Raw genomic sequence first — 13123 nt, forward strand, 5'->3', positions numbered from 1 at the left:
TAGCTTTTATCCTAAGTTTTCTTCTAGTAGTTTTACAGGCTTAGGTCTTATATTTAATTGTTTAATCCATTGTGAATTGATTTTTGGATGTGGTATGAGATCAGGGTCCAATTTCATTCTTCTACGTGTGGACTTTCCATTTTCCCAGCACCATTTACTAAAGAGATTGTCCTTTCCCTATTGTGTGTTCTTGGCAACTTTGTCAAAGATCAATGGACTCTAGATGTATGCATTTATTTCTCTCTTCTGTTCCATGGGTCTCTGGGTCTGTTTTTATGGCAGTACCATGTTGTTTTGATTATTCTAGATCATACTGAAGACTCTGACTCTGAGTAGGATGGTATGACTGATGGAAGATAGTCGCAAATTCTTGGACACTCTTCCCCTTGATGGGTGGAGTTTAGTCTCTCTCCTCTTGAATCTGGGCTGGCCTTAGGCAGTCACTTGTGATGAAGAAAATGCAGTGAAAGCAACGCTGTGTGACTTCAGAGACGAGGCCAAAGGCACTCTTGTAGCTCTGAGATAGGAGGTGGGACCTGACTCCATAGGCGGGGCTTGGACACTGGACCAGACTGAAGACTAGGTAAAACAGGGCCGGGCAAAAGCAGCTTTTAAGCAGACACACCCATCAGTGTACCATGTCAATTTACTGTTGCCATGACAACACCCAGGCGTTACCACCCCTTTCCATAGCAATGACTCAATGATTACTACCCCTTCCCTAGAAATTTCTGCATAAACCGTCCCTTACTCTGCATGCAATTAAAAGTGCGTATAAATAGGACTGCAAACGGCCTGAGCAGCTACTCTCTAGCCCTACCTTGCAGGAGCAGTCACCGAGCTGTAACATCGCCTCTTCAATAAAGCTGTTTTCTTCTATCTCTGGCTTGCCCTTGAATTCTTTCCTGGGCAAAGCCAAGAACCCAGCGGGCTAAGCACCACTTTGGGGCTCCTGGCCCTGCATCAGCTTCTGCCTTGCTCTCTTCTGCCTTGCCTGCTCTTCAGACCTTCTCTCTTGGGTTGCTTCTTCTAGGAACCCGGCCCTGTGAAAAGCCCAAGCCACAGGGAAGGCCACATCATGCGCTCTTACTTTTCTTCCACCTTATTGGCCACTCTCACCATCATTGCTGCATTTATTCCAGCACTACTCTATGTCAAAAAGCTTTACACACATAAGGTCATCTAATCTTCATCTAATGATCTCTGTTCCACCTATAATCCCTTCTTATATACTTTGTATTGATTTTGCAGAACATGGAAGCATATCTCTAATGGACTTCAAGCTCTAAAGGACATGAAATTGTCTCCATCCTTCTTCTCTTCCCCTTGCTTGGTAGCAGTTGAAGGACACCCAGGATCTCAGCTCAGGGGAAAACAGAAGGTCATACTGGAGTCTGAGAACCCTTAGTATAAACTCTCTAACTCCTGGAAACACTGTTAAGAATTATTGAAAGCGTGGAAATAAGGCTGGTCTGGAACTCCTGACTTCAGGTGATTCGCCTGCCTTGGCCTCCTAAAGTGCTAGGATTACAGGCGTGAACCACTGCGCCTCTCTGGAATTTGACCGTTTATGCTAAGGCATGTTGAGGCAGATTTTAGCCTCAGGTCTTCCAGGCCAATGGACCCCTCGCTTCTAAAAGAGTTCCAGCGTTGGGTTCTGATCATGTCCCAGTTTTTTGTTTTTTTTTTTTTAATAGAGACAGGGTCTTGCTATGTTGTTCAGGCTGGTCTCAAACTCCTGGCTCAAGCGATCTCCCGCCTCAGCCTCTCAAAGTGCTGGGATTACTGGTATGAGCCACTGTACTCAGTTTATGTCCCAGTCTTATTGGTTCCTGGGGGAGGAAATTGTTGGTTCCAGGTGTAGTTAGAGGTCAAAACGTTTTCTATTTTGCATGCTCAGGCTACATGACTTGCAATTTTGGTTCTGTTAAACCTACAAGGTAACTTTATTATTATTATTTTTTGAGATGGAGTTTCACTCTTGTTGCCCAGGCTGGAGTGCAGTGGTGCGATCTCGGCTCACTGCAACCTCCACCTCCTGGGTTCCAGCGATTCTCCTGCCTAGCCTTCCGAGTAGCTGGGATTACAGGCATGCGCCACCACGCCCAACTAATTTTGTATTTTTAGTAGAGTCAGGGGTTTCTCCACATTGGTCAGGCTGGTCTCGAACTCCCAAACGCAGGTGATCTGCCCGCCGCAGCCTCCCAAAGTGCTGGGATTACAGGCGTGAGCCACTGTGCTCGGCCAACATTTTGTTATCAACAGAATAGGCCCAGTTTGGGCTGGTCCCACAGCTACAGCATCCTTTATTCAGTTTATATATCCTCAATTTCTCAAATTTTCTTTGAGCCAGTTTTACCATCTTGCCAGCTCCCTGATAAATGAGTTAAATAAGTCTCTGAACCATGGGTCACATTGTATTTACATGAGAATTTTTTTTAATTTTTAATTTTTTTTTTGAGACAGAGTCTCACTCTGTCACCCAGGCTGGAGTACAGTGGCATGATCTCAGCTCACTGCAACCTCTGCCTCCTGGGTTCAAGTGATTCTCCTGCCTCAGCTTCCCCAGTAGCTCATAGCTCAACCTCCTAAATAGCTGGGATTACAGGGATGTGCCAACACCCCTGGCTAATTTGTGTATTTTTAGTAGAGATGGGGGTTTCACCATGTTGGCCAGGCTGGTCTCGAACTCCTGACCTCAAGTGATCCACCTGCCTCAGCCTCCCAAAGCACTGGGAGTATAGGTGTGAGCCACTGTGCCTGGCCAGCCTTATACATGCTAAAGAACATTACCTGCTTATTATTTCTTTATTTGAAGATAAAATCAACTTAGGCCAATTCATCATTTTTTTTTCTTTTTTGACCCTGAGTCTCGCTCTGTCACCCAGGCTGTAGTGCAGTGGCACTATCTCGGCTCACTACAGCCTCTGCCTCTCAGGTTCAAGTGATTCTCTTGCCTCAGCCTCCTGAGTAGCTAGGATTACAGGCCCCAGCCACCTTGCCCGGCTAATTTTTGTATTTTCAGTAGAGACGGGGTTTCGCCATGTTGGCCAGGCCGGTCTTAAACTCCTGACCTCAGGTGATCCGCCTGCCTTGGTCTCTCAAAAGTGCTGGGATTACAGGCATGTGCCACTGCGTCTGGCTCATCTTTTCTTTTAGTGAAAGAAATAAAATGCAAGAACAGAACTTATCCTAAAGTTAAATCATCCTAGTTCACAAAAGGAGCCTGAAAATGATAGAAGCATAAGGTATAGGAGAAGTCCTTTCCCCTAAGTCACTGCTGCAAACAGATCCTGGAAATAAATATTTGCACATAAACCTCTAAGTAGAGGCCATGATCAGAACCCAACACTGGAACTCTTTTAGAAGCGATGGGTCCATTGGCCTGGAAGACCTTTCCCTGCAGTTTGAAGAGGAATAAATACCACCTCAAATAAGGTGATTTGAAAAGGTGTTAAACAGGCAGGGCGCAGGGGCTCATGCCTGTAATTCTGGCACTTTGGGAGGCTGAGGCAGGAGACTCTTTGAAGCCAGGAATTTGAGACCCACCTGGGCTACACAGCCAGACTCTGTTTCTACAAAAACACACAAAAATTAGCCAGGCATGGTGGTGCACACCTGTGTGGTCTCAGCTACTACATAAGGATGACAAATAAAAGGAATAAGTTGGCTGGGTACGGTGGCTCACACCTGTAATTCCAGCACTTTGAGAGGCTGAGGTGGCAGATTGCTTGAACCCAGGAGTCTGAGACTGGCTTGGGCAAGATAGCAAGACCTTGTCCTTATTATTTAAAAAAATAAATAAAAAAGAAAAGAATTACCTATGGTATTTTTTTTTAATTAGAAAGGCAGCCAACTTCCAGAAGAAAAATAATAAAATAAAATAAAATAAAATAAAAGCCAATTAAATCCCTTGTAGGGGCCAAGGGCTTTGGTCCTCTCAAGGTTGCTGACAAATCAATTTGCAAAGGGCAGATTAATTGGAGAAAAGGCATACAAATTTATTTAACATGTATACACAAGCACTTTCAGATTGAAGACTCAAAGATACAGGAAAAATGGTTCATTTTTACGCTTAGGTTTGAAACCACTTTTGCATGAATGATAACAGTGAGAAAATTATAACAGTGGAAGAGATCTGATCTAACCAATGCCCATCTTGCGATTGTTTTTCTTTTGGTTTTGTTTTCGAGATGATGTCTTGCTGTCTCCTGGTCTGGAGTGCAAAGGCACAATCATGGCTCACTGCAGCCTCAATCTGGCGACACTCCCACCTGAGCCTACCAAGTAGCCAGGACTACAAGTGGGTGCCACCATGCCCGGCTAATTAATTTTTTTTTTTTAGTAGAGATAATCTTGATATGTTTCCCAGGCTGTTTTTGAACTCTTGGCCTTTGGCAATCCTCCCCCAGTCTGCAGTCTGCCTGCTTTGGCCTTTAAGGTGCTAGAATTACAAGTGTGAGCCACTGTGCTCGGCCTCCTCTCCTTTTTTGTGGCTATCTTGACACTGAGTTTTTGCGTAGTCCAGGCCAGTTGTTTTGTATAACATCCCATACTTCTGGGATTGTCTGATTGTTTTTTCTTTTTTTTTTTTTGAGACGGAGTTTTGCTCTTGTTGCCCAAGCTGGAGTGCAATGGCATGATCTCGCTCACTGCAACCTCCACCTCCCAGCTTCAAGCGATTCTCCTGCCTCAGCCTCCCGAGTAGCTGGGATTACAGGCATGCACCACCATGCCTAGCTAATTTTTTGTATTTTTAGTAGAGACGGGGTTTCTCCATGTTGGTCAGGCTGGTCTCAAACTGGCGACCTCAGGTGATCCGCCCGCTTCAGCCTTCCAAAGTGTTGGGATTACAGGCGTAAGCCACGGCGCCTGGCGTCTGATTGCTTCCTTATGATTAAACTGTCCTTTCCCCTAAGTCACTGCTGCAAACAATTTCTGGAAATAAACATTTGCACATAAACCTCTAAGTAGAGGCCAGGACTCAGCCAGGCGCAGTGGCTCACGCCTGTAATCCCAGCAGTTTGGGAGGCCAAGGCAGGTGGATCACTTGAAGTCAGGAGTTTGAGATCAGTCTGGCCAACATGGTGAAACCCTATCTCTATTAAAAGTAGAAAAAAAAATTAGCTGGGCGTGGTGGCACATGCCTGTAATCCCAACTACTCCGGAGGCTGAGGCAGGAGAATTGCTTGAACCCGGGAGGCGGAGGTTGCAGTGAGCCAAGACCGGGCCACTGCACTCCAGCCTGGGTGGCAGAGTGAGATTCCACCTGTCAAAAAAAAAAAAAAAAAAAAAAAAGAGGCCAGGACTCAGAGCATCCTGGTAACGGTTGTGCAGAATCCACACTCCAGCTGGGAACACTGGGGAAAGTGGAGCCCACCGTTTTCTCTCTCCTTACTGTCGGGTCAGGCTTCTGCCCACTAGAGGGCAGCCAAGTCAAAATCTTGATAGAAACAAGTTCTAAAGACTTACCCAGATTTGCTATCTCTTCTGAGATAGTGTTTTTTTTTTCTTTTTTTTTCCTCTTTTTTTTTTGAAATAAGGCCTGGCTCTGTCGCTCAGGCTGGAGTGCAGTGGCACGATCTCGGCTCACGGCAACCTTTGCCTCCTGGGCTCAAGCTATCCCCCTGCCTCAGCCTCACGAATAGCTAGGATTACAAATGCATGCCACCATGCCCGGCTAATTTTTGTAGAGACGGGGTTTCACCATGTTGTCCAGGCTGGTCTTGAACTCCTGGGCTCAAGAGATCCACCTGCCTTGGCCCCCGAAAGTGTTGGGATTACAGGCGTGAGCCATCAGGGGCGGCCTTCTGAGATTGTTAATGTGAAAAATTCTATCGAAGTTGTCTATCAAAGTTGTCATCCACCATTTGTCTCTTATGAGTGTTCTTTTTTTTGAGATGGAGTCTTGCTCTGTCGCCCAGGCTGGAGTGCAATGGTGCGATCTCGGCTCACTACAACCTCCACCTCCCAGGTTCAAGCGATTTTCCTGCCTCAGCCTCACAAGTAGCTGGGATTACAGGCTCTCGCCACCATGCTGGCTAATTTTTGTATTTTCAGTAGAGGTGGGTTTCACTATCTTGGTCAAGCTGGTCTCGAACTCCTGACCTCAGGTGATCCGCCCACCTTTGGCCTCCCAAAGTGCTGGGATTACAGGTGTGAGCCACCGTGCCTGGCCCTTTTGAGTGTTCTTTTGGGACCCTGTCAGAGCAACTTACTAAGTACTTCCTCTATTGTTAACTTGTTGAGTTGATGTCTCCTCTGAAATTTTGTGTATATTTTGAGGAGATGGACTATTTCTAGAGGTCTCTCCAGAACTGAAACTGTGGTTTCCTGTAAGTCTACGAATACTGACTTCTCTTTTTTTTCCCTTTGAGACAAGGTCTTGTTCTGTCACCCAGGCTGGTGCAATCATGTCTCACTGCAGCTTCGACCTCCTGGGCTCCACTGATCCTCCTACCTCCGCCTCCTGAGTAGTTGGGACAATAGGCATATGCCACCATGCCTGGCTAATTTTTTTTGTTTTTGGTATATTTTGTAGAGATGGGGTTTTGCCATGTTGCCCAGGTTCTGACTTTTAATAAATAAGAAATTTGGTCTCTGTATCTTTCTTTTCCCCTTTATACTTCACTGAAGAAAATGAAGGTGGGCTTCTTCATGGGGCTGGGCCAGTAAAATTAGGCTACACTCATATAAGCATTTCCCCAAATCCTCCTAATACCTCTTGTGAAAAAGGGTATCTGCCACATAATACCATCAATTCTGTGACAAATTATTCTAACCCGCTGGTTCTCCATCCTGTCTGCACATTGAAATCACAGGGGAATGACATCTACTGATGCCCCTGTCTCTCTCTCAGAGATTCTGAGTGGGGAGGGAATTTGTGTTGGTGTAAGTGTGTGCCCCACAAGGGAAGGACCTGCCCAACACACCGTGTGCTTTGCCCTCAGCAAGGAGCCACAGCTGCAGGTGGATTTCCACACCGGGATGGATGAGGACTCAGACATCGCTTTCCATTTCCGAGTGCACTTTGGTCATTGTGTGGCCATGAACAGCCATGAGTGGGGGGTCTGGAAGTGTGAGGTGAAATCTGACAATATGCCCTTTGAGGGTGGCCAATCATTTGACCTGCGCATCTGAGTGCTGGACAAGGAGGACCAGGTGAGCACCCCAGGAGCTCCCAGCATGCAGCCTCTGTGGACTCCCAGAGCAGGAGGTAGCTCTCCCTGCCCTGGCCCCACCAGTCCCTCGGGACCCATCTCCCATAACGACTCCTGCCCCAGGCTTTTCATCACAGAGCACCCTCTGCTTGCACTGCCACCCTCAGCTCTTTCCCAAATCTGACCAAGGTCAAGGTTGGTTCACTTGCCATTTCCCCCAAGGTGGAGAATCATTTCCATAGCTGTCATTTCTGCTCATGCTGTTATTTACATTTTCATGTGGCCAAATAGACAAAATACATGTATGAATCAAATTATTTTAGTCAGTCAAAAATTAACTCTTCCTTTCACTCCCGAACCTCACTCCTACTCCCCAGAACAACACTACCAGCTTCTCTGCTCTCCTTCCAGAGATAATCTACCATTAGAGAACCGTATATTTCCTCTTCCTCATTTGTATAATATGCTTTCATTCCTTTTTGTATATATGCCTATACACATATTCATATATACATATATGCATATATGCTTTCATTTCTTTTTAAACAAATGCTGTTATAAATGTCTTTGTACATTACACTTTGGAAACTAGAGTCGATTTATAGTCAAAGAACATATCTTGGAGAATTCATCTATCTATGGTGCTGCTTCATTTTTCTTTTTTTTTTTTTTGAGATGGAGTTTCGCTCTTGTTGCTCAGGCTGGAGTGCAATGGCGCAATCTCAGCTCACTGCAACCTCCACCTCACAGGTCCAAGCGATTCTCCTGCCTCAGCCTCCCAAGTAGCTGGGATTAAAGAGATGCACCACCACGCCTGGTTAATTTTTTGTATTTTTAGTATAGATGGGGTTTCTCCATGTTGGTCTGGCTGGTCTCGAACTCCTGACCTTAGGTAATCTGCCCGCCTTGGCCTCCCAAAGTGCTGGCATTACAGGCATGAGCCACTGCGCTTGGCCTGCTGCTTCATTTTTTAAAGATTGCATAATATGCCAGTAGAAGGATGATCCAAAATGATTGAACTTGACCGTTTTGATGGTTACTGCGTGGTTTTTAGTATTTTGCTCTCACAAAGGGTGCTGTATTAAGCTTTCTAATCAACTCTTTTGTAATTATCAACCTACCAATACTTACATTGGAGGATACTTGCAAAGACATAAAATAATTGGTTGAAAATTGTGTGAAAAATCTTAAAATTTCATAAATTAATACCTTTAAGATGACTTTCTTCATAGCTACAGCAATACAGATTATATTGAAATTTTCTCACCTTCTCTAACGGGTAGGCCAAAAGGTGAACATTTTATTCAGCTCTAAGTGAGGCATCTGTTCATATGCCTACTATAGGCTGCTAAAATAATATCCTATGTTTTGCAACATCTGTCCTGTTCCTCCTCTCTAAGAACACTTGGGTTTCATTCTTGGCCACCTCCAGCCCAGATCTGGGCTACTCCAAAGAGAAACTGGGCCATCAGCAGTGAATGGGAGTCACAGTTGGTGGAACTTAAAAGTACCCATTCAATAAACATTGTCAAGCACTAACCTCGTGGCAGGCCCTGTGCAAGATGCAGGAATTCAAGGTCAAGAGACACAATCCCTGGCCATGGGGATCTTCCAGGCTAGAGGGGAGATCCAGCAAACAGGGACCACGTGACATAGAGGGGTAGAGCCTCACTGGAAGAATGAGAGGAAACATTGAAAATGCAGTGAGCAACTGTCTCAGATAGCCACAAAATGTAGTCTGTAAACAGAAGTGAGTCTGCCGGGTTTTGATGTATAATTAGGAGTTTTCTGGGTGGGTGTTGTAGGTACTAGGGCAGAGTAGAGAGGAGGCTGAAAGCTTGTTTGGTGAAATACTGTCTTTCTGATGCACTTTTCCTCTTGCAGGTAATGGTAAGTGGCCAACACTGCTACAGCTTTGCCCATCGACTCCTGCCAGGGTCTGTGAAGATGGTGCAAGTGTGGAGAGGTATCCCCCTGACCTCAATGTGTGTCTGAGATTGAGGTGATGACCACACTCCCCACTGTCGAGGAATCTCTCTTTCTACGTGACCATGCGGTTCCCAGAGCCTGCTGACAGCATGATCCCTCCTTACTCCTTCCCCTACACTTGCTCATTAAAACTTCACCAAACTTCACAGGATTTTGGCTTTTGCTTGAAGGGGAAAAAGCAAAAGTGGTCATCACCAAGAGGGCCTGAGGGGTTTCATGGGAGGCATCAAGAAATCAAAGAGAATAAAGCTTCCTGTGGCACAAGGAGTGAGTGACAAGGTCCCTGGAATGTCTGACATGACATTAGGAACAACGTCCATCTATAGCATGTAGTTGACTTCAGAGACTCTGACCCAAAATCCTCTGATTTGGGTCAAACCCAAATCAGAGATTTATCTGACCCATTAATCCTCCTTCCTTCTTGCCCTTTCTCCTTCTGCCATGGGATGATGTGGCACAAAGGCCCTGGCCAGATCCCAGCTCTGTGCTCATGGATTTTCCAGCCTCCAGAATTGTAAGCCAAATAAATGTTTGTTTGTTATAAATCATCCAGTTTGTTATAGCAGCACAATATGGACTTAGATGGTGGTGAAGCACTGTTGCAGGCCTGGAGGACAGAAATCACTGGTATAGGGAGAAATTCTACAAGTTGACCCAGACCCTACCAGGGGCTTACCTCCAGCCCAGTGCCTGAATATGCTGAGGCAAGTGAACCAGGAGGAACTGAGAACAGAATCCAGGCTTCACTGGCTGCCTCTGTGTTGGTGACAGCAGAAAGACGAGTATAGGGTGGTGGCTGTGAGATGGCATTGTGCCATGGGAAGAAGTAGACCAAGAAGTGTTTCCTGGGCACTGAGGAGTGTCTTCTATCTCATGGTGGCCTCTTTACCAGCACAGCTGACCAGTGCATGGGTCCCTCTACCTCTCAAGATACAGGCACAGTGATAAGAAATAGTGCCCATGTAGGTCCTGGAGAAAAAAAAAGTCAAACCCAAGATATGTAACCTCCAGAAATGACTTTGGAAGTGCCTTTATTTATTTATTTATTTTCAGATGGAGTTTTGGTCTTGTTGCCCAGGCTGGAGTGCAATGGTGCGATCTCACCTAACCGCAACCTCCACCTCCCGGATTCAAGCAACTCTCCTGCCTCAGCCTCCTAAGTAGCTGGGATTACAGGCATGCACCACCACACCTGGCTAATTTTGTATTTTTAGTAGAGACAGGGTTTCTCCATGTTGGCCAGGCTGGTCTTGAACTCCCGACCTCAGGTGATCCGCCCACCTCGGCCTCCCAAAGTGCTGGGATTATAGACGTGAGCCACCACGCCTGGCCTAGAAGTGCCTATTTTATTGTGTCCAACACTTGACCCCTTTACAAAGCTATTATAACAGTGTGGTGCTTGCTTAAGGAGAGGCACATATACCAATGGAATATAATAGGGAGCCCAGAAATAAACACTCACATACACATTCATGTGAGAGTCCACAGTAGGCCAAGACCATCTCACTGGGAAAGGACAGTCTTTTCAACACATGATGCTGGGAAAACTGGACTTACACATGCAAAATAATATGGTTGGGGCCTTTATCTTATAACATATACAAAAATTAACTCAGAATGTATCACAGAATACATGTAAGACCTACAACGATAAAATTCTTTGAAAAAAACATAGACGCATATCTTCATGACATGAAATTTGGCAATGATTTCTTGGGGATGACTCCAAAAGCACAAGTAACAAAGGAAAAAACAGATAAACTGGACTCCCTCAAAACTGAAAACTTCATCAAAGGCCATTCTGGAAAAAGTAAACAGTCAACTCACAGAATGGAAGATAATTTGCAGATCAGATATCTGATAAGAGATTATTATCTAGAATAGAGACCTTCTACAATCCAACAACAATGGCACAAATACTCTCCCGATTTAACAGTGACCAAATAACTTCAACAGACATGTCTCCAGAACAGATATAAAAGTGGCCAATAAGCACATGAAAATATACTCAACTTCAGAGTCATTAGGGAAATGCAGAATCAAAGCCATAGTGAGATAGCACTTCACTCTCCCTAGGATGGCTGTTATTTTAAGATGCAAAATCACAAGTGTTGTGAGGATGTAGAGATACTGTAACCCTTGAATGTTGCTGTTGGGAGTGTAAAATGGTGCAGCTGCTGTGGAAAACTATATGGCAGTTCCTCAAAAAGGTCACCATGTGATCCAGCAACAGCACTTCTGAGTATACACCCTAAAGAATTGAAGAAAGAGACTCACGCTGATATTTGCACAGCAATGTTCATAGCAGCATGATTCACAACAGGCAAGAGATGGAAACAACCCCAATTTCCATCTACAGATATACGTACGATGGAAGATTATTAGCCTTAAAAGTGGATGACATTTTGACGCTTGCTATCACGTGAATGAGTCTTTAAAACATGCTAAGTGAAATAAGCCAGACTCCCCCTGAGGCTGTAGGTGCAGGCTGTGGGGAGAAGGTAACGGGGCAGGAGTAGGGGCTATGGACATTTGGACCCTTCCTCCTGCAGCTTTCTTGTGCCTTCAGGACCTGTGTAAGCCTGATCTCTCTGCCCAGTGAGTCCCCACTTCCATCCTGAGGCTATTTGGTCAGTGTCAGGTTGCAAAAGACACACAACCATGAAATGTGACTTGACAGATACTCTGCAGTACTTTCACTTTCAGATAGCTCTGGCTGAACTTGCAACCTAAATACAAATAGGATTTTGTTTCCTTTTCACTGCTAGTTATGATTTTCAAGAAATCCATGGTTTAGAGGAAAATGATTTTGTAATTTGTGCTGAATTCTGATGCATGCTATCTTGTCAGTATTTCAGATGAAAGTGATAGAAAAGACACTTGTTTATTGAGGGAGCAGTTAGCAAGCCACTCAGAGTAGATACACAATGGCCTGCCCTAAGTGAACTGGTGGGAAATAAGAGTTGCTTGATCGTTGATTTTTTATGAAAGTAGAGCCTAGGACTTTCCGTAGGTGTGAGAAAGTGTGTGATGGAAAGAGGAGGATCAGGGATGGTGTGGAGGTTTCTGACCTGAGAGAGGGGACTTGGGGACTTCAGTCCCCACATCCATCTTGAGGTTATTCACTCAGTGTCAGGTTGCATAGAACACACAACCGTGAAAGGTGACGTGACAGGTGCTCTGCAGCACTTTCACTTTTAGATAGTTCTGGCTGAACTTGTGATCTCACTAAAGATAGAAATAGATTTTCAAGAAATCCATGGTACAGAGGAAAATAATTTTGTAATTTATTGCTGGATTCTGATGCATACTATCTCATTAGTATTTCAGACAGAAGTGATAGGAAGGACACTTACTGAGGAAGCAGTTAGCAAGACACTCAGAGTAGACACACAATGGCCTGCCCTAGGTGAACTGGCAGGAAATCAGAGTCACTCTATCCGTGGTTGGCTTACGAAAGTAGAACCATAGGACTTTCCACAGGTGTGAGAAAGCGTGTGAGGGAAAGAGGAGGATAATGGACGGCATGGAGGTTTCTGGACTGAGAGAGGGGATTTGGGGCATGAATAACTGAGAGAGTAGCAGGGTGGGAGGGGCTGTGTCGGAGCTGAGCAGGGCTGAGTGGGAGTCATGGTCTATACTGAAAGCAGAGTAGGGATCTCATGGGGACTCTCTTCCTTCTACCTGGACCCCAAAACTCACAGGTCCCTCCACTCAACCAGGAAAAAGAAGAGGGAAGCTCATATGCTCTTCGCCCTCAGTTCAGGAATGGGGGGTGAACCATTTCATTTCTGGAAATGCTGAGACCCAGATTTAGCAAAGACCAATTTCCTCATTTAAAGGGTGCACCCACATGACCATGCCCTCCTCCTATCCTCCTTCCTGACTTAATGGGAGAAGTCGTGTCACAGAGGAGGGGCTGAAGCCTCAAATAATGGACAGGGCAGTCAGTACTTTTCAGAGCGTAAGTCTTG

At 45.3% G+C, this 13123-nt stretch overlaps 1 long non-coding RNA gene across 1 annotated transcript, besides 3 other annotated features; it reads left to right on the top strand.

Moving 5' to 3' along the window:
• Nucleotides 1–1261: 1261 nt before the first annotated feature.
• On the top strand, nucleotides 1262–9489 carry LOC105372399 (uncharacterized). The gene is made up of 3 exons (XR_935966.3): nucleotides 1262–1381; nucleotides 6951–7161; nucleotides 9045–9489. It is a non-coding gene; the product is annotated as an uncharacterized LOC105372399 (long non-coding RNA).
• Nucleotides 6423–6512: an enhancer, noted in NCBI's record as "active region_14624". NCBI's record gives its function as "activates an Ori minimal core promoter by ATAC-STARR-seq in GM12878 lymphoblastoid cells {active_cell/tissue: GM12878}" and the evidence as "EXISTENCE:reporter gene assay evidence [ECO:0000049][PMID:35858748]".
• Nucleotides 9782–9841: a silencer, noted in NCBI's record as "silent region_10612". NCBI's record gives its function as "represses an Ori minimal core promoter by ATAC-STARR-seq in GM12878 lymphoblastoid cells {active_cell/tissue: GM12878}" and the evidence as "EXISTENCE:reporter gene assay evidence [ECO:0000049][PMID:35858748]".
• Nucleotides 12371–12480: an enhancer, noted in NCBI's record as "active region_14625". NCBI's record gives its function as "activates an Ori minimal core promoter by ATAC-STARR-seq in GM12878 lymphoblastoid cells {active_cell/tissue: GM12878}" and the evidence as "EXISTENCE:reporter gene assay evidence [ECO:0000049][PMID:35858748]".

The sequence above is a fragment of the Homo sapiens genome, chromosome 19 (assembly GCF_000001405.40).
Source record: "Homo sapiens chromosome 19, GRCh38.p14 Primary Assembly".
NCBI classification, from domain to species: Eukaryota; Metazoa; Chordata; class Mammalia; order Primates; family Hominidae; genus Homo; species Homo sapiens.